The following is a 24784-nucleotide window of genomic DNA, read 5'->3' as shown; positions in this document are numbered from 1 at the left end:
AACCCAGTCTCCTAAGTTTCAAGAGCTGGCCAGCTATTTCAATGTGCATTCATTCATTGGTATAGTTTAAATAAGCAAGTTAAATCCAGCATGTAATGGTATCAGTAACTAAGAGCTTCATATAGTTGAATTGCTTCCACTGCATTTTTGTGCATTGACCAAGTTGGTCGAAAATCTCTAGTGAGAAGAGTAGCCATATCACCTGCAATTGCAAATTCCCATACCAATTAATCAGATTTTTTCAAATTTTTATTTATTTTTATTTATTTAATTTTGTTTTATTTTTTCGAGATGGAGTCTTATTCTGTCGCCCAGGTTGGAGTGTAGTGGCATGATCTTAGCTCACTGCAACCTGCGCCTCCCAGGTTCAAGTGATTCTCCTGCCTCAGCTTCCTGAGTAGCTGGGATTACAGGCACATGCCACCACACCTGGCTATTTTTGTATTTTTAGTAGAGACAAGGTTTTACCATCTTGGCCAGGCTGATCTCAAACTCCTGACCTCGAGTGATCTCCCCACCTCGGCCTCCCAAAGTGCTGGGATTCCAGGCATGAGCCACCGTGCCTGGCTGGATTTTTTCAATTTTTAAAGTCGATACATAATAACTGTATATATATATGCGGTACATGTGATATTTTCAAATGTATATAAAATGTGCAATAATCAAATCAGGGTAATTAGGATATCTGCCACTTCTAATATTTATTCTTTGTTTTGGGAACATTCTAAATCTTTTCTTCTAGCTGTTTTGAAATATACAATAAAATACTGTTTACTATAGTCATTCCACTGTGTAAACACTAGAACTTATTCCTTCTAACAGTATTTTCATAACCATTAACCAGCTGTTCTTTATCTCACCAACCCTCCCACCCTTCCCAGCCTCTGGTAACCGTCTTTCTACTCTCTGTTTCCATGAGATCAACTTTTTAAGTTTTCACATATGAGTAAGAACATATAATATTTGTCTTTCTGTGCCTGTCTTATTTCACTTAAGATAATGACCTCCAGGCTCGCCCATGTTGCTGCAGATGACAGCATCTCTTTGTTTTTTATGGCTGAATTACGAATCAGATTTATTTGGTGAAAACACTAGGGCACTCAAGGTAGCACCTTGTAGTTAAGATTATTCCCAGGACTTTATAAAGGAACCGCATGAGAAAATTCAATGTAAAGAGAATAAGTTAACAGTGTGGACCAGAGACTTGAGCACAGTCCTATGCATCTAGGAAAGCATGAAGTATGTGTTTGGGTAGCACAGAGAAATTCTGGCCATGTGGGCTATGTTTACAATAATGCATTTCACTCTTTTCTTACAGATAATAACGGACTTTGATATGACACTCAGTAGATTTTCATATAAAGGGAAAAGATGCCCAACATGTCATAGTAAGTGTGATATTTGTAAACAAATTCACAAAAGCATGTCATCATTATTTTAAGATCCTCTTTATATTACCTGTGAGATAACTGGGTTTTTAAAATTCTTCTTGGACATTGACAGTGAGGAGACCTGCTTTTTCTTATTATATTTTTGAGGTTTTTTTTCCCATATTATATAAATGGTTATTTTCATGTATGGTTTTGGTAGCAAAGGGAATCAGAGACTCCTGAAATATTTCTTGCCAAATATGGTCTATTCATTATTCAAGAAATATTTAAATAGGTTGTAAACTTTGGGTTAACCTGAAGAAACACCATTTATCAAATACTTTGTTTTCTAGGAATTTTACCAAATTTTAATGTCTTTTTTGTTTTCCAACTTGGCTGTGAGTTTTTAAAATAACACTCTTCAACCTGACAGGGAAACGGTGAAATGAACTCTCTCATTTGCTTTTAGTACATGTGTAAATTGAAAAATTATTTTGGGGCTGGGTGCGGTCACTCATGCCTGTAATCTCGGCATTTTGGGAAGCTGAGGCGGGCAGATCATTTGCAGTCAGGAGTTCAAGACCAGCCTGACCAAAATGATGAAACCCTGTCTCTACTAAAAATACAAAAATTAGCTGGGCATGGTGGCGGGCACCTGTAATCCCAGCTACTCAGGAGGCTGAGGCAGGAGAATCACTTGAACCCGGGACGTGGAGTTTGCAGTGAGCCAAGATTGCACAACTGCGCTCCAGCCTGGGCAACAGAGTGAAACTTCATCTCAAAAAAAAGTAAAAAAGGAAAAGAAAAATTATTTTGATAACTTGTATTAAAAAAATGCTAAAAATCGCCAGGCACAGTGGCTCACGCCTGTAATCCCAGCACTTCGGGAGGTGGAGGTGGAATAATCACTTGAGCCCAGGAGTTTGAGACCAGCCTGAGCAACATAATAAGACCTTTTCTTACAAAAAATAAAAAATTAGCTGGGCATTGTGGCATGCCTGTGGTCCCAGCTACTCATTTGGGAGGCTGAGAGGGTCCTTGAGCCTGGGAGGGCAAGTCTATAGTGAGCCATAATCGCACCACTGCACTCCAGCCTGGATGACAAAACAAGACCCTGTCTCGAAAAAAAAAAAAAACACTAAAAATCTTCATATCCTTTGCCCTATTAAGTCCTCTTTGGAGAATTTCTAATAATCTCAAATGCAGTTTTTAAAAAACTTTATTCACAAAAATAATGGTGACTAAGCTCAACATAAAATTATTACTAATAGCAGATGCTTGGAAGCAACCTAAAAAGTTTAATGCTGCAGAAATGATATAAATTATTTTCTGCTCACATACCAGAAATTTTAATTACATGGAAAAATGCAGACTACAATGTGAAATGAAAAAGAAAATTCAAAATTACAGATTTGGTATGATCTCTTATCTAATTGATATACATGAAATCTTAAGACTGAAAGGAAATATACTAAAATATTGTTCATTACTTATTATTGAATGCTAAAACCTTTTACCATTCAATTTTTGTTTTCTTCTTTACAGTGGTCTGGATTTTCCAGATGTTTACGTTAAGCATTTATTATCTTTTTATTACGAAAAAAATGTATTTCCCATATGTGTTTCTTATATTTAATTACAAAGTAGAAAATGGAAGTGATCAATACACAGTTCATAGTATTTGAAGATATTGAATTGTCTATCTCAGTGATGTAAGCGAGCAGTCACTGAATCTCAGATTTTAAGCCATTAGCTTCTTTAACAATGTCATGTGAATTATACCACTGACACCAAAAGTTATAATAACCATGCTAGTTGACTTGGCATTACTTAAAAGTATTGGGTTGGTGCAAAAGTAATTGAGTTTTTTGCCATTACTTTATAGCAAATTATTCATAGTAGTGGTAGCATAAATCAGAGTATTTCTTTTAATGCTTATTTTGCTTTCTATCTTTAGATATCATTGACAACTGTAAGCTGGTTACAGATGAATGTAGAAAAAAGGTAAACACTAACAACAATCTATAGTCACTCAAAGACTTCATTACCCTTTTTGCCTGAGAATTTCTTCAGGTGCATTCACAGAAGTAAGAATGGATGTAAAGTGCTTACAGCCATACCTGGCACATAGTAAGCACTCAGTAAATAGTAGGTTTGCTGTATGAATTACACATTCAAAACATATTTTAAAGATAAAAATTCACAGTAACTTGACAACAAAACTTATATTTAAAACTCTTAAATGATTACCAAAGTATTCTGGTGTTGTAACGTTAACTGGAGATTTAAAACAAAAGTACTTCAGTTTTCTATAGGTTTTGCTCCTTTAAGTTGATGAGGAAGTTGCTTCAGTACTTCGCTTGAGTATGTATGTGTCTGTGTATATCTTAACAAAATGCAATTTGAAATGTGAATCAAATTTAATACCTTTATATGAAAACTAAAGTGTTTTTTGTACTGATAATTTTATTGTTGGTTTTTACTCATCTGAAAGTACTTTACAAAAGAAAGGTAGCTTTTTGCAGGTATATTTGATTACATGTCAACTAAGATCAACAAATATTTTTTCAATTGATGCATTAGCTCAACTTTTAAAGCAGTTTGTTGAAAATACTTGTTTACATTGTTTTGCTTTCTATAAAACCAAGCAGATTTATTTTCAAGTAATCTTCATGATTAAGTTATTCATATCTTCCTAGTTATTGCAACTAAAGGAAAAATATTACGCTATTGAAGTTGATCCTGTTCTTACTGTAGAAGAGAAGTACCCTTATATGGTGGAATGGTAAGTGTATATTAGGCAGTAGGAGGATTAAAAAAAAATAATAAAACAACACTGCAGTTACAACTGATGGCTTATTTTTTACCTGTATTGCAAACAAACAGATTAATAAATTATGCAAGTTAGAGCATTGAATAACAAAATGAGCTCTAATTATCTAATCTCTCTAACAGTTTAGGAATCCTTTTGTTTTGTTTATTTAAGGTGAAGTCCAGTAGGAATAAATTAAAAGTCCTGCATTTAAGTCTCAAATTAAAAACAAGAATTTTTTTTTAAGTATATGAACAAAACGTGGCTTAATGTGTAAAGAAAAGGTATGAGGATTTAAACTGAGTCTGAACTCAGAGCCAGCAGGTGATATGGTTACCCAAAAATCGACCTTTGGTTGCATTAATCAAAATGCAGTGTTCCAGGCAGATCACACTGAAAGCACTGTGTCGGATTCTGGAAGAATGCTGTTAAGAGAAACCATGACAATAGTGACCAAAAAAAAAAAAAATAGATCATGACAAACTTAAAAGGAGTCAGAGTAGTCCACCAGAATGATCAGAGGAATTTGAGCCTTCCCACTTGACGAACATTTCAAGGAATAGAAAATGCTTTGATTTGAGAAGGAACAACTTGTTTTAAAATCTTAGGAGACCAGGAATGATTTGTCTTTATTGTCCCGTTACGTAACAGTTGCATACTTCATCTGTATTTGTGGTACTAAATGTTGAAAAGATATTAGACTTAACTCTACAAACTGGTAGCAGCAGAACTGGAACTAGACTTGGAAGATATAAGAAGATTGATTTCAGCATGAGAAATGAAAAGCCTGTCTAGCAATTAAGAGTTTTCTGGCAATGGAATAAGCTTCCCTGGGAGAATGAGCTTACTGACATGTTAGAAGCTGACCCAGGCAGGGAAGAAGGTGACTTAGGAATATTATAGGGGTATTTTTAGGTATCAGATGAAGAGTTAGGCTTTTTTTTCTTTTCGTTTCTTTCTTTCTGTTTTTAGTGGCTGTTTGCATAATTGTAATGGGTTAGAGAGTCTAAGGGCCCTTTATACTGAGATGCTATGATTATAGGTGTTTTCTACATAAAGCAGGCTAATCTGTATATGACACTTGCCATAACAAAGATTTTCTCTCTTGTTCACTAAGTAGCATCTTCAGTATGTAGAAAATTCAAACTACAAACAAATTTTAAAAATGGGGTTGCTCTAATTCATTTTACTGCAATCAGAGAAAGGATTATGCTTCCATAGGTTGGGTTGAGTTTTTATGTGTAGAATTAGGAAAGGTTTATAGCTAGTTTCCTTTCATTACCTTACTAACATATTTAAGCTAAGTCTGGGTTTGGGAGGACTGGGAAACTCAGTAAGAACATGCATATCACATTTTGAGACATGAGGTATACATTCATTAGTGATGAACTTCAATCTCTAAAATTTAAATCCAAATATGAGGAACAGATTTTCTCACATGGAAGAATGTTTTGTAATAAAGATAATAATTTTAGTTTGTCTTAATTGATAGTCTTTTTTCCTTTGGTCATAAACTCCAGGTATACTAAATCACATGGTTTGCTTGTTCAGCAAGCTTTACCAAAAGCTAAACTTAAAGAAATTGTGGCAGAATCTGACGTTATGCTCAAGTAAGTTTCTTGGATGTTTTTTGCTGTTATTGTTCACAGACTTGAATTATTGCTATTTATGTAGTCAGTTGTACTTTTTAAAAATAAGATTGAATATTCCTTATATAACCATATCCAAAATATGCCACCTATCACAAAATACATAGTGGTAAGATAAGGAATTTAGAATGACGTATTAGATCTTGGTGTAGGTAGTAAGAGCCTTATGAGATTTAAATTCTAATTTGTATTTTGTTTCTCCAGATTAAAAATGTCAAGACTTAAAATTTTTGAACCAAGGCCATTTAAAAATTTTTTAGCAAAATACTTAGGAAAGACATATGAAAGGAATGTATAAATCAAGTTAAAAGGGATTTAAGTATACTTTTTTTTTTTTTTAAAGACAGGGTCTCTCTCTGTTGCCCAGGTTAGAGTGTAGTGACATAATCTCTTCCTCAGTTCAACCTCTGCCTCCTGGGCTCAAGCGATCCCCTTGCCTCAGCCTCTCAAGTAGCTGGGACTACAGTCATGCACCACCATGCCTGGCTAATTTTTGTATATTTTTGTAAAGATGGGATTTCACCATGTTGCCCAGACTGGTCTTGAACTCTTGAGCTCAAGCGATCCCAAAGTGCTGGGATTATATGTGTGAGCCACCATGCCTGGCAGTATACTATGTCTAAATTTACATAAGCCTACTTTTTAAATTCTCGAACTTCTTTGAAAACTATTCCTAGGAAAGATTAGTATGTTTTAGTACATAATTATATATGTATGCATGAGTTATAAGATACAAGAAGCTTTTTTTTTTCTTTTTTTTTTGAGATGGAGTCTCGCTCTGTCACCCAGGCTGGAGTGCAGTGGTGTAAGCTCCGCCTCCCAGGTTCACGCCATTCTCCTGCCTCAGTCTCCTGACTAGCCAGGACTTCAGGCGCCCGCCACCACGCCCGGCTAATTTTTTGTATTTTTAGTAGAGACGGGGTTTCACCGAGTTAGCCAGGATGGTCTCGATCTCCTGACCTTGTGATCTGCGCATCTCCGCCTCCCAAAGTGCTGGGGTTACAGGCGTGAGCCACTGCGCCCGGCCCAAGAGCCTGTTTAATACTGTTTATTACCTCGTAAAATTTTCAACTCATTAGGCAAATATGATGATGTTACTTTTTTATGATGATGTTATATTTTAAGGTGATTACTTCTAAAAAGGAAAGCAATAAATTGTCAGAAAAAGTGTGAGGACAGCTAGTAAGTGTTTCATTCCTTAGTAGGCAACATTAGCATTCTTTAACCTATGGCCCAGGAAGGGTAAAAAAGGGAAGAGGGCTTAAGATCTTAGTAAAGACACATGCCAGATGTCGAGAATACATCTAAGTTCCTGCCACTCTGCTTTTCTTTTCAATTTTATGGATTTTGATGAAACTGTAAGAATATCAAGTCATTCTTCATAATTTTAAAATCTGAAAATATTTTAATCATGTAAATGTATTTGTTGTTGGTCAATATATATCCATTAAGTTAGGCCAAGTTGATAGGCCCACTATGGGACTCCATCCTTCTCAGTGTTAATATATCCATGTTTTAACCCCTAAGTGGGGTTTTCAAGGTGTAGCTTAACTATTGTTTTCTCTTTTTAAATTTCATTTTAGAGACAGGGTCTCGCTATGTTGCCCAGAGTGGACTAGAACTCCTGGGCTCAAGCAATCCTCAAGCCTCAGCCTCCCAAATAGCTGGGACTATAGGCATGCACTGCTATGCCTGCCTATTTCTTTTTAAATGGTATAAATTGTGAACTGTAGGTTTATATTCATATTCAGTGAAAGCTTAAAGACATCTAGTTTGTAGTATTAGAATTGATTAAAGGGAAAGTAAAGAGTTAACTGTTGTTTGAAAAACTTGTAGTATTGTAGATATCAATAACAGCCCTCTTGGGCAGTATATTGAAATGAGAATATGAGTGAGCCATAGAATTACTAGGAATATTTCACTTTTTTAGCTTCTAAGTAAAAAGGAACTATATCTTGCTCTTTAATAACCAGTTTGTTATCTCCATCTTACAGAGAAGGATATGAGAATTTCTTTGATAAGCTCCAACAACATAGCATCCCCGTGTTCATATTTTCGGCTGGAATCGGCGATGTACTAGAGGAAGTTATTCGTCAAGCTGGTGTTTATCATCCCAATGTCAAAGTTGTGTCCAATTTTATGGATTTTGATGAAACTGTAAGAATATCAAATCGTTCTTCATAATTTTAAAATCTGAAAATATTTTAATCATGTAAATTTATTTATTGTTACTTAATATATATCCTATATCCAGAAATTAGGCCAAGCCGATAGGCCCACTGTGGGACTCCATCCTTCTCAGTGTTAATATATCCATATTTTAAAAACAATGTGCCCTTCTTAAACTTTCATTCCCCAAGCTATAGACTAATAATAAAAGTAGTAAAACTTCTTCTTTTTTTTTTTTTTTTTTGAGATGGAGTCTCACTCTGTTGCCCAGGCTGGAGTGCAGTAGCACAATCTCAGCACATTGTAACCTCTGTCTCCTGGGTTCAAGCAATTCTTCTGCCTCAGCCTCTCGAGTAGCTGGGATTACAAGCGTCTGCCACCACACCCGGCTAATTTTTGTATTTTTGGTAGAGATAGGGTTTCACCATGTTGGCCAGGTTGGTCTCGAACTCCTGACCACAAGTTATCCTCCCACCTTGGCCTCCCAAAGTGCTGGGATTACAGGCATGAGCCACCACACATAGCCTAAAACTTACTTTAAAATATTTTAATGCAGCAACTTTGAAGCCTTAACATTCATAGTTGGAAAAAGAAGTGAGTTAGAACTGACATTATTTGAATAACGTTTTCTAATCAAGGCAGTATATTATGAAATACATAAAATAACATAAAATAGGATATTTTGGTTAGAAACAAAATAAAAACTGAAAATTGAATTTTGAACTCATTTTGTTTTACCTTTTTTTTTTTTTTTTTTGAGAGGGAGTCTTGCTCTGTAGCCCAGGCTAGAGTTCAGTGGGGTGATCTTAGCTCACAGCAACCTCCACCTCCCAGGTTCAAGCAATTCTCCCTACCTCAGCCTCCCGAGTAGCTGGGATTACAGGTGCGTGCCACCAAGCCCAGCTAATTTTTGTTTTCTTAATAGAGACAGGGTTTCACCATGTTGGTCAGGATGGTCTGATCTCTTGACCTCATGATCTGCCCATCTTGGCCTCCCAAAGTGCTGGAATTACAGGCGTGAACCACTGTGCCCGGCCTTCTTTTTTTTTTTTTGAGACAGAGTCTCACTCTGTCACCCAGGCTGGAGTGCAGTGGTGCCATCTTGGCTCACTGCAACCTCCACCTCCTGGGTTCAGGCGATTCTCCTTCCTCAGCCTCCCGAGTATCTGGGACTACAGGTGCGTGCCACCAAACCTGGCTAATTTTTATATTTTAGTGAGGCGGGGTTGCACCATATTGGCCAGTCTGGTCTCGAACTCCTGACCTTGAGTGATCTGTCCTCCTTGGCCTCCCAAAGTGCTGGGATTACAGGTGTGAGCCCCTGCGCCCGGCCTTTGTTTTACCATTTAAAATAGTATCTAAAAAATCATTTACTTCTCCGAGCCCTTCTTAGCTATGGTGAATGTGATGGACTTAAGTGCTTTGAGATCTCTAGTATCAAAGATGTATTTACAAATATGATGAAATAATAGTGACATCAATTAAGAGCTCCAAAATATGAAAATCCAACAAATAGAATTTTTAAAGCCTGTTCAAAAGATTTATATTTTTCATAGGGGGTGCTCAAAGGATTTAAAGGAGAACTAATTCATGTATTTAACAAACATGATGGTGCCTTGAGGAATACAGAATATTTCAATCAACTAAAAGACAATAGTAACATAATTCTTCTGGGAGACTCCCAAGGAGACTTAAGAATGGCAGATGGAGTGGCCAATGTTGAGCACATTCTGAAAATTGGATATCTAAATGATAGAGTAAGTATACAAATCTGTAATTTTTTTCGAAGAAAATATTAGGATGAAACTTGATAGGCAATTGTTGCCATAGTCACCTGAGAAAGTAGTTATTTTAGAGACTTTTTTTTTTGAGACAAGCCTCTGTTACCGAGGCTAGAGTGTAGTGATGCAATCACATCTCACTGCAGCCTCGACCTTCCCGGCTCAAGCAATGCTCCCACCTCAGCCCCTCAGGTAGCTGGAACTACAGGCGCACACCACTACACCTGGCTGATTTTTAAATTTTTTTTAGAGATGAATTCTCCCTGTGTTGCCCAAGCTGGTCTCAAACTCCTGGGCTCAAGTGATTCTCCAGGCCTCTCAAAGTGCTTGGGATAACAGGCGTGAGCCACTATGCCCAGCCAAAACATATTGTGATCATGCATTTTGATTGTTCTTTATACTGGTGATGTTTAAAAAGGAGCTGAGATGCATGCTATAGGTACTGGGAAAAGGGAGGATGTGTATTCTGTAGGAGGCCTCTGTGTCTTCTGCCCACTAGATGCTGGATAGCAGTCTCCTGCCATGAGACTCAAAAATGTCCCTAGACGTTACTAAATGTTCCGTGGACAAAAATCACCCCATTTGAAAGCCACTGGACTGGAGAGAGAGCATTTTGGGGAGAAAAGCTACCATGTGGAAAAATGTCTGTCAGTGGGTCTTAAGGATTTGAAAATATTTCTTCATTTCAAAGATTTTTTGAAAGTGAATTTAATTTATTGCATTTTGCCCAAGAGATCTAACAACGAGATTCATACTGAAATTATTTGTTTCTTTGCCCTGCATGTTAATTTTCTTTTGTTCATCTCTTGATTAGGTGGATGAGCTTTTAGAAAAGTACATGGACTCTTATGATATTGTTTTAGTACAAGATGAATCATTAGAAGTAGCCAACTCTATTTTACAGAAGATTCTATAAACAAGCATTCTCCAAGAAGACCTCTCTCCTGTGGGTGCAATTGAACTGTTCATCCGTTCATCTTGCTGAGAGACTTATTTATAATATATCCTTACTCTCGAAGTGTTCCCTTTGTATAACTGAAGTATTTTCAGATATGGTGAATGCATTGACTGGAAGCTCCTTTTCTCCACCTCTCTCAACACACTCCTCACCGTATCTTTTAACCCATTTAAAAAAAAAAAAAAGCTAAAATTAGAAAAATAACTCCCTACTTTTCCAAAGTGAATTTTGTAGTTTAATGTTATCATGCAGCTTTTGAGGAGTCTTTTACACTGGGAAAGTTTGTAGAAATTTTAAAATAAGTTTTATGAAATGGTGAAATAATATGCATGATTTTAAGTATTGCCATTTTTGTAATTTGGGTTATTATGCTGATGGTATCACCATCTCTTGAAATTGTGTTAGGTTTGGTTATTTTGTCTGGGGAAAAAATATTTACTGGAAAAGACTAGCAGTTAGTGTTGGAAAAACCTGGTGGTGTTTACAATGTTGCTAATCATTACAAAACATTCTATATTGAAGCACTGATAATAAATATGAAATGCAAAACCTTTTTAATTCTATGGTCAAAACTATCTTTACTGAGTCAACAAATATTTATTGAGCACCTACCATGGTTTTTTGTTTTCTTCTTGTTTCTTTCTCTCCGTCTGCCTGTCTTTTGTGATATATAAATTCTAAAGTCCTTGTCATAGTGGCTATTTAGATTGAATATTTTCAGAAATTATTTAAGTCTAAAGATATTTCAGGGAAAATTTTGTCTGCCCTTCAGAAAATACTGAGACCTCTGAAAATTATTTTCTCCCATTTAAAACATCAGTAAAAGGTACAAGTCTGCAAGTTTCAGAAGCCGAGACAGGAAGCAGTGGAGCTGGGTCTCGTGGTGACTGAATCTGAGCAGCACTGCGACATTAGGAGCCAGCATCTCTCTGTACAGTCCAGCTACCCACTCCACATCTCTGGCTCTGCCTCATCATTCATCTTCAGGATTTAGACCTGCCATTGTGATCAATTTGACCGTGATTCTTACCCTTAATTCCAGATCCTATGAACACCTAATTGGTTTGCTTATATAAGCACCTGAGCTATGATACACACAAAGCATGATCTGATTCATTCTGGCCATCCAGTGTGAGCAGCAGTCTCTAGTTCAGTCAGATGTGGCTGGAAGGCAAGGTCACATGTTAGGAAACCTTTTTGTCCTGGGAATGCCCATCCTTATCCTCCCCCACCACTCCTTTTCATCATCATAAGCAATGAAGCAGGCCAGGCACGGAGGCTCACACCTGTAATCCCAGCACTTTGGGAGGCCAAGGCGAGTGGATCGCTTGAGCCTAGATGTTTGAGATCAGCCTGGGCAACATAGGGAGACCCCAGTCTCTACAAAAAATTAGCCAGGCATGGTGATGCACCTGTAGTCCCAGCTACACAGGAGGCTGAGGTGGGAGAATCACCTGAGCCTGGGGAGGTTGAGGCTGCAGTGAGCTGTGATTGCACCACTGCACTCCAGGCTGGTCAACAGAGCAAGAACTTATCTCAAAAAAGCATAAAAATAATGAGGCCAGGTGCAGTGGCTCACATCTGTAATCCCAGCATTCTGGGAGGCCAAGGCGGAGTTCAAGACCAGCCTGGGCAACATGGCAGGACTCAGTCTCTACTAAAAATACAAAAAATTAGCCAGGCATGATGGTGCGCACCTGTGGTTCCAGGTACTCAGGAGGCTAAGGTAGGAGGATTGCTAGAGCCCGGGGGGCCAATGCTTGCAGTGAGCTGAGATCATGCCCCTGTACTCCAGCCTGGGTGACAGAGCAAGACCTCATCTCAATAAATAAACAATGAAACAAAAATGCAATGGCAAAAGGCAGACTAGACCCTGCCTAAGTGTTTCTAAAATCAAACTGAAAATAACTTCTTGCATTAAAGCAGATAGCATGGCATGGGAGTATCAGAATTACCTGCAGGACTTTTGCACATAGAAAAAACAGTTGGGAATCTGATTCAATGATAGCTCTTTACCCCTGTATTGCAATCAGAGCTTATATTGGCTGTTTCCCAAAGGTGTTTATAATATGCTTCCATGAGTAAGTATATTGCATGCTGTAAATCTAAAGAACACTGAAGTCATGATCTACATTCTGGTCATGGCTCAGCCCCTTACTAAGAGTACAGGTTCAGTCACCTCCCTATATAATGAATGCCATAAGAACATGCACTCTCTAAGGCCTCTTCTAACCAATTCCATAAATTGAGTCTCATGCTTCTTCCATGATATGTTTATCAACCTATCACATCTCACTGCCACCTGATGCTACTGAAATTTAAAATATTGGTATTTGAGTTCAGTTTTCAGACCAGTTTAGTATAGCCATTAAGAGTGTGACCAGGACAAATTATTGAGCCTGTGTCCCAGTTTGCTCATCTATTAAGTGAAGATGGTGATATAGCTTCTAGATTCATAAGTAGATATGCTCATCTTTTATGTATGCATTTGAAATTTATGTATGCATTTAAAACAGTCCAAGTATTCAATGTTAGGTAGAATCCGTCCACAAATGTATAAGCTGTTATATCCCCCAGTACAGTGTTTTGTTGAATCAATGAAATGGAATGATCTTTTGCAGCCCCAGCAAATACTGGTAGTGTATGGTAACTACCATATTCTCCAAAGAGCCTAGCGTTAGCCAGTGGTTTTATTCAACTTTAAATTTTACTTTATGAAATAAAGTAATTTTGAGGGCTAGAGCTAACAATTTTGACAAAACTGGAAAAAAATGAAAACAACCATCAGTAATACTAGCTCATTCTGGAGTGATTTCACGAGAAGTCTACCTTCCATGGTCTATTTAATAGTCACCCAAATTTTGGTAGATGACCGAAGGTCTGTTTAACCGGCCTTCAGGTTCAGTTTTCTCTTTGATATACCCTAGGGAGAATCAGCAAGGAAAAGATCAATGTAATCTTGAATAACTTATCCTGAAACTTCTCCAGAGTTACCCAGAGAGTCAACAGTCATGCTGCTTTTTGTACTTAGTCTGGTGTTTCAGTACCAGTTTAACACATAAAAAGTGATCAAGGTGCAAGGGACACAGCTTTGAAATAGTCAGACCTGGATCTGAATCTGTGATTCTGTCATCTGCAATAAGTTTCTAACTTCTCCAAGCCTTAGTTTTTTATCTGTAAAGGGGAGTATTAACTAGAGATGAGGATTAAATGAAAAGTCACTTACTCAACAAGTCTCTATGTTGTGCTGAGTTCTAGGGAAACAGTAGTTAAATCAGGGCTGGATGCGGTGGCTCATGCCTGTAAAATCCCAGCACTTTGGGAGGCCGAGGCGGGCAGATCACGTGAGGTCGGGGGTTCGAGACCAGCCTGACCAACATGGAGAAACCCCATCTCTACTAAAAATACAAAAATTAGCTGGGCATGGTGGTGTGCGCCTGTAATCCCAGCTACTTGGGAGACTGAGGCAGGAGAATCGCTTGCACCTGGGAGGTGGAGGTTGCAGTGAGCTGAGATTGTGCCATTGCACTCCAGCCTGGGCAACAAGAGTGAAACTGTCCCCTCTGCCCCAAAAAAAAAAAAAAAAAAAAAAAAAATCAGTCATGCTTCCTGCCCTCGTGTAGCTTCCATTCCTAGTGGGTCAAACAGGAGGAAAGAGTAGCAATTATGAATATGGTAAATGCTCTGAAGAAAACACAAATGACCTACTTTATTTATTTATTTATTTTTTATTTTTTTGAGATGGAGTCTCACTCTGTTGCCCAGGCTGGAGTGCAATGGCGTGATCTTGGCTCACTGCAAGCTCCGCCTCCTGGGTTCACGCCATTCTCCTGCCTCAGCCTCCCGAGTAGCTGGGACTACAGGCGCCCGCCACCACGCCCGGCTAATTTTTTGTATTTTTAGTAGAGACGGGGTGTTAGCCAGGATGGTCTCGATCTTCTGACCTCGTGATCTGCCCACCTCGGCCTCCCAAAGTGCTGGGATTACAGGCGTGAGCCACCACACCCAGCCAACAGAGATCTATTTTAGATATGGTAGTCAGAGGAAGCTCTTCTCAGGTGATATTTAAGCCAAAGTCTGAAGGATAAGGACCTAGCCATGTGAGGAGTTGAGGTAGAAACATTCCTAGGAGAGGGAACAGGGTGTGGAAGGTCCCAAGTGAGAAAGTTTTAGGCCATTTGAAGAACTGAGAACTGGTTTAACAGTATTATGAACAAAGGGAAGAATGGCATCAGGCGTTGAACGGGAAGTAGGTGGGTGCCAGATCATGGAGGGCTTTATAAATCATAAGAACTTTGGTTTTTCTCTCCTTGCAAAGGAGGGGCAGGATCACTGCTGCCACGTGGGGCAGGGACTAGCGAGGGCAGATAAACCCAAGCACACCAGTTTGGGGGCTATTACAGCAGTTCCAGCTAGAAATAATGGTTGGTTTTTGGGGCTGGGGCTGTGGAACTGGAGAGAAGTGGGTCATTTCCAGGAGTAGCTTAGAGACAGAATTGACAAAACTTGCTGTTGGCTTAAATATGTAAAGATGAGATGAGAGAGCAGGGGGTCGCTGATGTCTGCTTTGGACACATGGGTGCCAGGGAAGATGGAGAGGAATAGGCTTGGTGGTGTTGGCAAGGGAGTGGGAACAGACATGCTGTTTTGGACATACAAAGTTTGACATGCCTGTGAGACGTACAAGAGAAGATACCAAATAGACAGACTAGAGCTCAAAGGAGAAATCTGAGCAGGAACTATAAATGTGGGTGTTGTCTGCATTTAAATGAGATTTAAATATGGCCAGTGTAAGCTGGAAGAAATTGCCTGACCAATCAGAATTTCCAACATTAAGCATGGAAACCACACACAAACTATTAATAAGCATAAATATTTTATATTTGCATCTAGCAACAAATAATCAGGAATATTATTTTGTTTTTGAGATGCGGGGTCTCCCTCTGCCCAGGCTAGAGTGCAGCAGCACTATTGGGGCTTACTGCAGCCTCAACCTCCCAGGCTCAAGTGACCCACCTCAGCCTCCCGAGCAGACCACAGGTGTGCACCACCACGCCTGGCTACTTTTTGAAACTTTTTGTAGAGATAAGCTGTGTTGCCCAGGATTGTCTCAAACTCCTGGGCTCAAGCGATCCTCCCACCTTGGCCTCCCAAAGTGCTGGGATTACAGGCATGAGCTACTACACCCAGCCCAGCATTCTTATTAAGTAAAAACTCCAGATCCCTGAGAGAGTGAAGGGAAAAAGTCTTCAAAAAAAGCAACTTTGTCCCTGGAAACCTGAGATAGTAAAGTAACAGATGGGGGCAGGGTCCACTGTTTATGTATAGTCTTGCAGTTAAACCTATTTCCCTGCCAGAATGAATTTTTTTCCTATCTTTTAAGTATTTGGACAAAATTATAAAGTCATAAATAATCAGAGATCAAAACTCACTGGTTTTAACAAAATGGTGCATACTGCTTACATGTGCAGGCGGCCTAGTTGTGTCAAACATACTCAGATGTCATGTTCATGTTCTATTAGACTCTCATCCCACAGTAGGTATCAATGACCCAGTTCATATGTAGGGTCAAAATCTGTATAGATCCTGAGTTAGGTAGTCACAATATAGTACCTATCAATAAATGTTCCTGTCAGAAGGTCCAGAGGCTGGCCAGGCACAGTGACTCACCTGTAATCCCAAAACTTTGGGAGACAGAGGTGGGAGGATCACTTGAGGCCAAGAGTTCAAGAGACTACCCTGGGCAACATAGTGAGATCCCATCTCGGCAAAAAACATTAAAAATATCTGGGCTTGGTGGCACCTGCCTGTGGTCCCAGCTACTCAGGAGGCTGAGATGGGAGGATTGCTTAAGCCCAGGAGGTCAAGGCTGCAGTGAGCTGTGATCGCACAATTGTACTCCGGCCTGGGTGACAAACCTTGTCTCAAAAAAAGAAAAAAAAAGTGCTGTCTCAGGTGAGAACTGATTTAGAAAACAAAAACAAAAATTGCTGTGTGGCATCTCTACCCTGTACTTGGCCCCTTATTTAGTATTTACAGCCTTGTTGGCAGAACTATAGCCCATAACCATAATGTAAATAGAAGCAAGTGTTGCAGCCATAGCATAAAGTGGGGCCAGCTAAGCAGCTTCCCCTTGCAGACAGATAAACGCGCCTGATCACTGAATGCCCTCCTCGGCAACGGGAAGAATGGAAGTGCCTAGGCAGAATTCAGCAGGCCAAAGCTTCTCTCCATTCCTGAAGTTCTAAGGTCCATGTCCTTTTTTTCTTTAGAGTCAGGGTTTCGCTCTGTTGTGCAGGCTGGAGGGCAGCGGTGCAATCACAAATCACTGCAGCCTTAATTTCCCGGGCTCAAGCAATCCTGCCTCCTCAGCCTCCCAAGTAGCTGCGACTACAGGCACATGCCACCATGCCCAGCTAATTTTTAAAATTTTTTTAGAGATGGGGTCTTGCTATATTACCCAGGCTGATCTCAAATTCCTGGCCTCCCAGAATGCTGGGATCACAGGCATGAACCACTGCCCCTGGCCAAGAAACTTATTTCTGATTCAGCCCGTCTGTCTCCACCATCACAGAAAACAGCCAGTGAAGAAATTCAAATAGGCAAATAAAAATCTGCGGTAGAGGATAAGCACAAGGTTTTTCTTTTCATAAGGCGGGTAAGGCTAATGAAGTCAAATGCATTCCAAAGCCCAATTCAACTTAGCAAGAAGCAAAAAAAAAAAAAATTTTTTTTTTTGAGACATAGTCTTGCTCTGTCTCCCAGGCTGGAGTGCAGTGGTGCCATCTCAGCTTACTGCAGCCTCCGCCTCCTGGGTTCAAGCAATTTTCCTGCCTCAGCCTCCTGAGCAGCTGGGATTACAGGCGCCCATCACCATGCCCGGCTAATTTTTTTTTTGTATTTTTAGTATAGAAGAGTTTTCACCATGTTGGCCAGGCTGGTCTTGAACTCCTGAACCTCAAATGATCCACCCATCTCAGCCTCCCAAACTGCTGGGATTACAGACATGAGCCACTGCACATGGCCAACATTTGCTTTTTAACAGCAACTTTATGTATATATAATACATATATTTTATGTTTATTAATATATATTAAAATAATTGCTTTTAAATATATAATTGCACCACACACACACACAGTTTCTCTATACATGTGCCAGTAATTCTCCATTTGCTCCCACCCACCCCATCCCTACCTCAGATTCATTCTCCACCTTTCTCTGCACTCAAGAGGCTGACTTCTGAGAACTCCAGTCTCTGAGCTCCTCTTACCCTCTGGCTTCCAACATGGTTCCACTAATGGGAGCCAGTGGCAGGCATCAGAGAATGGGGGCACAGAGGGGATGGGGCGTTTGTCCCTCGCTCTGCTGCAGTGTCAGCCGCACTGTCAGATGCAGCTGGCTGCATCCCTCTGTTACGCCTCCAGGTAGCCCTTCCTGTGCTGCTCCCACTGCCTCCTCTTGAGCTCTCAGGCCCTGGTGGTAGCAGCCTCCTGCGGTGGCCAACACTGCTGTCACTGGCACTCAACAGCCTCAGTTCCCCCAGCCTCGCCCACACCCCTCTAAACAGTCCTTTCCTTAGCTTCTCTTCAGGAGTCCCAGAGGAGGGCCAGGACCCTGACTGACACTCCCTATAAGTAGAGTGCGCTCCCTCAGTAAATGCAGTGAAGTCCTGCTGTTTTCATCAAGGGGATTCTGACTGCATGGTGCATTCTCATAGGTCTTCAGCCTTCCAATAAAATATCAGAAAACCAGATAATATCATTCAACATTTTATATCAGAAAAGATCAGCTTTCCAACATTTATTCCATGGAATGAGTGCACAGCATTTTCATGAACTACCTCAGGGCTACATCAGTACAAAATAGTTTAAATTAGTAAAATAAAGTAGTTTCAAAGGGAAATCATTGACGACTTCAGGATAAGTGCCACCACCATTTGGGAACAGAGGATAGAAGGTAGCCATGTGGTTATTCCATGATGCAGGAATCAGGTCGGCAGGTGGACTGTCATTGCTGTCTTGCGGCAGCTGGCCTCTGCCTTCAGGGTACCACCGTCTCCAGGACACAAATGGGCAGCAGAAAAATGTCACCTTGTTGATGCTCAGCAGCTCATCTATTGGGACAAAACTTCCATCTCGGCCAAGGGAAATACTCTGTTGAGTGACCAGCGGGGCCCAGCCCCCAGCCCTATTTATCTCATCAATATGGTTCAGGGAAGATAAAAAAGAGTGTTCTATGGGATAGAAAGGTGGGAATAAGAAAAAACTAAGTGGCTGGGCATGGTGAGTCACGCCTGTAATCCCAACACTTTGGGAGGCCAAGGTGGGCGGATCACGAGGTCGAGATTGAGACCATCCTGGCCAACACAGTGAAACCCCGTCTCTACTAAAAATACAAAAATTAGCCGGGCGTGGTGGTGCACACCTGTAGTCCCAGCTACTCAGGAGGCTGAGACAGGAGAATCGCTTGAATACGGGAGGCGGAGGCTGCAGTGAGCCGAGACAGTGCTGCAGTGAGCCGAGATGGCACCACTGCACTCCAGCCTGGCGACAAAGGGAGACTCTGCCTCCAGAAAAAAAAAAAAAAAAAAAAAGGAAAGGAAAAGCTAAGCAGATGACTTATGTGGCAAATGAGGAATCAAATTCTCTATTTGTGGTCTGAGATGCCTTTTCCTGGCCCAGTTTTCTGTCCAAAAGGCTCTTTTAACCTCCAAGTTATACACTATTAATGGTAGGCCCATAGTGGGGCGGGGTGTGATGAGCTGGAAAAGCATGATGTGCGTGTGCGTGTGCGGGGGTGGGGCCATCATCAGAATTTGCACAGGCTGCTGGGAAGAGCCATGGCTGTCTGCTGGGAACTCTGCTGGGGCAAGCAAGCCCTTTGACTCTCCTGCCCATCTCTAGAATATTTCTAAAATGTTTTAACCAGCAAGTTAAAAAAAAATTTAACCCTCTTTATATAGATACCCTGGACACCTTTTCTTATGGTTCCTCCAAGATGATTATAACTTCCGTCTGACACTATATATTCCTTTAATAACAAAATTTCCCAGAAGGCTCACAAATCATGGTTGGCAGTGCAGCCTTTTCAATACTGGACACATCCCATGCTAAGGCCCTCTGCACAGATTTTGTTTACTATCACTGGCGATCAGCCCAAACTTCTCACCCCATATATCAACCCACCCCGATGTGTACACCAGGTACTATGTGACCCACCTACTACTGGCTAATGATGCAACTTCTGAGAGACCCTTGCACCCTCACTGCACGTCTTGCCACACAGGTGGCTTGGTGTCACGTACTCCCTGGCACCATCTGGTTCATGCCAGGTTTAGAGTTCATCGTGTTTGGCTTCCTGGTCTTTGAGTTTAAATTCCTCGGCTGTGACCTTCCCATCTCCATTCCGGTCCTGGTTGGTGAACATATTCTTCACAATCAGCTCAGCATCAAAGCCAGGAGCGAGTTTCCCTTTGCCAGATGCCACCTGGGCGTGAATGTACTCTGAGAACTGGAAAAGAAGGGGACAGGAAAGACCATGAGTTCAGCCGCCATGAACGCCAGGCCTGGGGCCAGAAACAGAGCAGTCTGGGGGTGACAGGGCTGGAACTTGAGTCTGGGCTACCAACACAGACAAGATCTTTTTGGCAGCTATATGACCTATGATCTGTGTTTTGTTTTTTTTCTCTAAATGCAGGTGAAAAACCCTTGTGCTAAATGACTCCAAGAGCCCTTATTATTCAGGTAGCCAATACCCAGCAGCCGTCAGAGCTATTCCTTCTCCCAAGTTGGTTCCCCACCAAAGGCTGACCCCCAAGACCACCCAAGACTGTAAGAACATTCTTGGATGCAGGCATTCATTCATATGATCAAAACATATGGTCTACTATGTGCTGAGCACACTGTTCTAGATCTTGAAATACATCAATACACAAACACCCTGCCCCTGTGATGCTTGCATTCTAGTGGAAACAGACAATTAGACATGAACATAAAAATAGGTAAATTACACATTAAGTTACAAAGTGAAATGCTCCAGAAAAAAATCAAAAAGCGGAGCTCAGTAAGGAAGGGAGAAAGGGATGAAGTGTTGAATTCAGTGGTCAGGATAAAACTTTAAGGAGAAGGGAAGATTTGTGCAAAGTCTTGAAAGATGAGAAGGAAAGGACCGAACAAGTTATCTGGGGTAGATGTCTCCTGAGCAGAGAGGGCAGCCGGTGCCAGGGCTCAAGGTGGACGCATGCCTGGGTGGTCACAGACAGCACTGGGGGCAGGTGTGGCCGGGTAAAGTGGGCAGAGGGAGACAGCCGGCAAAGAGGTTACAGCGAGCAGAAAGTGCAGGGTCTTCACAGGCCACTGTGAGGCCCTGTAGACAGGGGCCTCTGCGGGTCTGACCCAGCTTCTGTGTGAGAACAGCCACTGTGAGGGCAGGAGGAGCTTCATGAACACCACTGCTGTGTGTGACCCGGGAAAGAGATGACAGGCCCCGGGCTAAGATGCTACAGGGTGGGGGTGGTAAGAAGCGTCAGGTTCTGTGTGTGCTCTCAAGGTAGAGCTGGAATGATTTCCTGAGGACCATTACGGCCTACGAGAGAAAGAGAGGAGTCAGAGATCACCGAGTGCTCTCGCCTGAGCCACTGGAGGCCAGTGATGCCACTGACTGCGACGGGAAAGGCTTTGGGTAAAGCAGGCCCCAAGCGGGGTGTGCGGGTGGATAGCAGGGGTTCCATAAATGAGGACATCAAGCAGGCAGCTGAACACATGAGTGTGAAGTGGAGAGAGAAGACTGGACTGGAGCTACAAATCCAGACGCCATCAGGATATGGACCCGATAAGACCACTGAGCGAGTGACTTAAAGACAGAGAAAAGAACAAAGGTCAAGACTTAGCCCGGGGTACTCCAACATGAAGCGATCAGGGACAAGAGGCCTGAGAGGGACGTACCAGGGAGGTAGAAGGAACACCATGAAGTGTGGTGTCCTGGAAGCCAGAGAAAGATGCGTCCTGTAGGGGAATCAGCTGTGTTGAAGTTAAGAGGAGCGTAAGAGCTGACCACTGGATTCCGCGATACGGAAGACATTGGCCACCCTGGCAAGGTCAGGCTCAGAGGCATAGAGGGACAAATGCCAGAAAGGAGTGGGTTTAGGAGAGAATGGGAGGAGAGGAATTGGAGGCAGAAAGGACACACAATTCTTTTGAAGTTTTTGCTGTAAAGGAAGGAAAGCAATGAAAGAAACAGACACATCCAGGGAAGGGAAAATAATAGCACATTTGTATGCAAATGAGAAAGATCCAGAAGGGCTGATGATGTGGAGAGAGAGAGGAAAAGGCTGGAGGATGTGCTTCAATAGCAGATGTGGAAGAGGCAGGGAGCTGGAATTCCCCAGGGGTGGGACAGAACAGATGGTTCTATTGCCCAGCTTCACAAAGAGGAGTGTGGTCCTGGCTCAAACAACTGAGTAGATGTGTGACCTTGGACAAGTCATTTACCTTCTCTGTGCAGTTTCTTCTAAAAAACAGCTGCTGTGAGGGCCAAATCAGAGAATACACTCAGCACATACAGGCAGGCATTGAGCACCCAGTAACGAGAACTAAATGCAGACTGTATGCCCTGGAATCATGCCCTACACCTCTTAGGGAATCGGTTTCTTCAGAGAGGAATGGTGAGCTTCCATCGAGAGGGTGTGTGTAAAAGCGCTTGGCACACAAGTGTGCTGGTCATCTCACAAGCCCTCCAGCCAGCTGGCCTCACCCTTAGAAGTCCTTACCTTCAGAACCGGCCCCACGGCCTTACCAGGCTCCCTGAGCTCTTCGGTCCCACCTTCCTACAGAGGCCAGTTAGTTACCTCTTCCAGGAGGACTTCTCCGTTGCCATCCTTGTCAATTTCTTCAAAGAGGTTGGGTGACACCTCACCATTCCATATGAACATGTACCCCTCAGGAAGGCCAGCCACCAGCTCCAGCAGCTCAATGTCAAACACTAATACGGCACTGCCGGGCACTTCTCCATCTGTCCAGGTGACAGGAGCGGGAGGCGGTGTCAGCCGGCAGGCAGCAGTCAAGCCCAACAACCAGCACCCACCCCAACCTCCAGCAGCCTCACTCAGAGTGGGACTTCTGACCAAAGCAAGAAAGCGGAGCAGAGGCTAGTCACTTTCTCACTGTAGGCAGTGGCCCGTTAATGACTCACGAAATCAGTTTAGAGGGTGGTGACCAGCGTTTAGTTATTTTTTAAATTAAGGAATAGAATAGAGGCCAGGCATGGTGGCTCACGCCTATAATTCCAGCACTTTGGGAGGCCGACTCGGGCGGATCACTTGAGATTAGGAGTTCAAGACCAGCCTGGCCAACATGGTGAAACTCCATCTCTACAAAAAATACAAAAATTAGCTGGTGTGGTGGTGGGCACCTGTAGTCCCAGCTACTCGGGAAGCTGAGGCATGAGAATTGCTTGAACCAGGGAGGCAAACATTGCAGTGAGCCGAGATCGCGCCATTGCACTTCAGCCTGGGTGACCGAGTGAGACTCCATCTCAAAAAAAAAAAAGGAACAGAATACTTTGTACCTCTAGAAAAGATAGGTATTGTGTCATGAAACTTGAGTTTAAATTTTATATATAAAACTAAAAGTAATGCTCACTTTAGCAACACATACTAAAATTGGAACCATACTGAGAAGAATAGCATGACCTCCGTGCAAACAGGACAAGCAAATTTGTGATGTGTTGATTAAAAAGAAATAAATAAATGTGTATATGTGTAACTTGTATGTTTATGTGGAATACAGATTGGGAAATAAAATGTATTTCTTACTGTGTGTCTTGTGGAAAAAAGTTTGAAAGCTGCTTGTAGAGACTACAATACAATGGTAAAACTTTTAAGTAAATCTAACAGCAGAACTTTTAGAATCTGAACAATATGCCTGAAGATGATGATCCAAGATTTGACTGTAAGCACAAATTCAAGAATAGTGTATACAGTATAGGTCCAAAGAAGTTATCTAAGTATGGAATATATAAAGGTAATGTGTATTATTCCAAATTATTATATTTTATCTAGATTATATGTTATATATAATATGCTATGTATTATAATTATTAATAATATATCACAGAAAAAGTCTTAAAGAATATACAACAATTTTTTTTTTTCTGAGATGGAGTCTTGCCCTGTCGCCAGGCTGCAGTACAGTGGCACGATCTCGGCTCACTGCAAGCTCCACCTCCTGGGTTCACACGATTCTCCTGCCTCAGCCTCCCAAGTAGCTGGGATTATAGGTGCCCGCCACCATGCCCAGCTAATTTTTTGTAGAGACGGGGTTTCACCCTGTTAACCAGGATGGTCTCCATCTCCTGACCTCGTGATCTGCCCACCTCGGCATCCCAAAGTGCTGGGATTACAGGCATGAGCCACCGCACCCGGCCAGAATATACAACAATTTTTAAAGCGTTTCTTCTGGGATTGGTAGGAAGAACAATGTACTTTACAATTCTTTTACGGGGAAAAAATATCAATCCACAGTGCCTATCATTGTTACCAGTTAGCTCTTCCTATCTCCTCCATGTCCAGATATCAGCAGTGTGAAAACACTGAAAAGAAGGGGTTCCTGGGGCCAGGCACAGTGGCTCACACTGATAATCCCAGTGCTTTGGGAGGCCTAAGCAGGAGCATCGCTTGAGCCCAGGAGTTAAGACCAGCATGGGAAAGATAGCGAGACTCTGTCTCTAAAAAATAAAAAATTAGCCAGGCGAGGTGGTGCATGCCTGTAGTCCCAGCTACTCGGGAGACTGAGGTGGGCAGATTGCTTGAGCCCAGGAGTTCAAGGCTGCAGTTAGCCATGATGGTGCCACTGCACTCCAGCCTGGGTGACAGAGTGAGACCCTGTCGCTGAAAAAAAAAAAGTTATTGAATCCCCACGTGGAGGACACATTGTGGCTGAAATGATGGAGTAAAACATAACCACTGTGAGGATGAGGTAAAGCCAGTATTTCAAGAACTTGCAACTAATCTCTCCCAAAGGAAACTGTCTTGGACAGCCTACAGG

At 41.6% G+C, this 24784-nt stretch overlaps 2 protein-coding genes and 1 pseudogene across 15 annotated transcripts in view; 2 read left to right on the top strand and 1 right to left on the bottom strand.

The window, feature by feature from the left end:
• NT5C3A (5'-nucleotidase, cytosolic IIIA) overlaps window positions 1–11314 on the top strand; it is a 48664-nt gene extending 37350 nt beyond the window's left edge. For 7 of the 11 annotated variants that reach the window (NM_001374335.1, NM_001374339.1, NM_001002009.3 and 4 more), the window contains 7 exons: window positions 1319–1388; window positions 3328–3374; window positions 4070–4155; window positions 5703–5792; window positions 7826–7988; window positions 9557–9757; window positions 10596–11314. In NM_001374335.1, coding sequence (NP_001361264.1) covers window positions 1319–1388; window positions 3328–3374; window positions 4070–4155; window positions 5703–5792; window positions 7826–7988; window positions 9557–9757; window positions 10596–10697 — 759 coding nt within the window. In that variant the 3' untranslated portion in view covers window positions 10698–11314. The remainder of the gene's footprint in view (window positions 1–1318; window positions 1389–3327; window positions 3375–4069; window positions 4156–5702; window positions 5793–7825; window positions 7989–9556; window positions 9758–10595) is intronic. The other 4 variants (NM_001002010.5, NM_016489.14, NM_001356996.3 and 1 more) reach the window with 2 other exon arrangements.
• The window catches only part of FKBP9 (FKBP prolyl isomerase 9), a 49489-nt gene continuing 43203 nt past the window's right edge, over window positions 18499–24784 (bottom strand). For all 4 annotated transcript variants that reach the window (NM_001284341.2, NM_007270.5, XM_047419849.1 and 1 more), the window contains 2 exons: window positions 22588–22751; window positions 18499–20252 (listed from right to left, as the gene is read on the bottom strand). In NM_001284341.2, coding sequence (NP_001271270.1) covers window positions 20076–20252; window positions 22588–22751 — 341 coding nt within the window. In that variant the 3' untranslated portion in view covers window positions 18499–20075. The remainder of the gene's footprint in view (window positions 20253–22587; window positions 22752–24784) is intronic.
• Window positions 23373–23477, top strand: RNU6-388P (RNA, U6 small nuclear 388, pseudogene; annotated as a pseudogene).

Source organism: Homo sapiens, chromosome 7 (assembly GCF_000001405.40).
Source record: "Homo sapiens chromosome 7, GRCh38.p14 Primary Assembly".
Taxonomy (NCBI): Eukaryota; Metazoa; Chordata; class Mammalia; order Primates; family Hominidae; genus Homo; species Homo sapiens.
The sequence above is the reverse complement of the archived record's forward strand: the minus strand, read 5'-3'. Positions and strand labels throughout refer to the sequence as shown.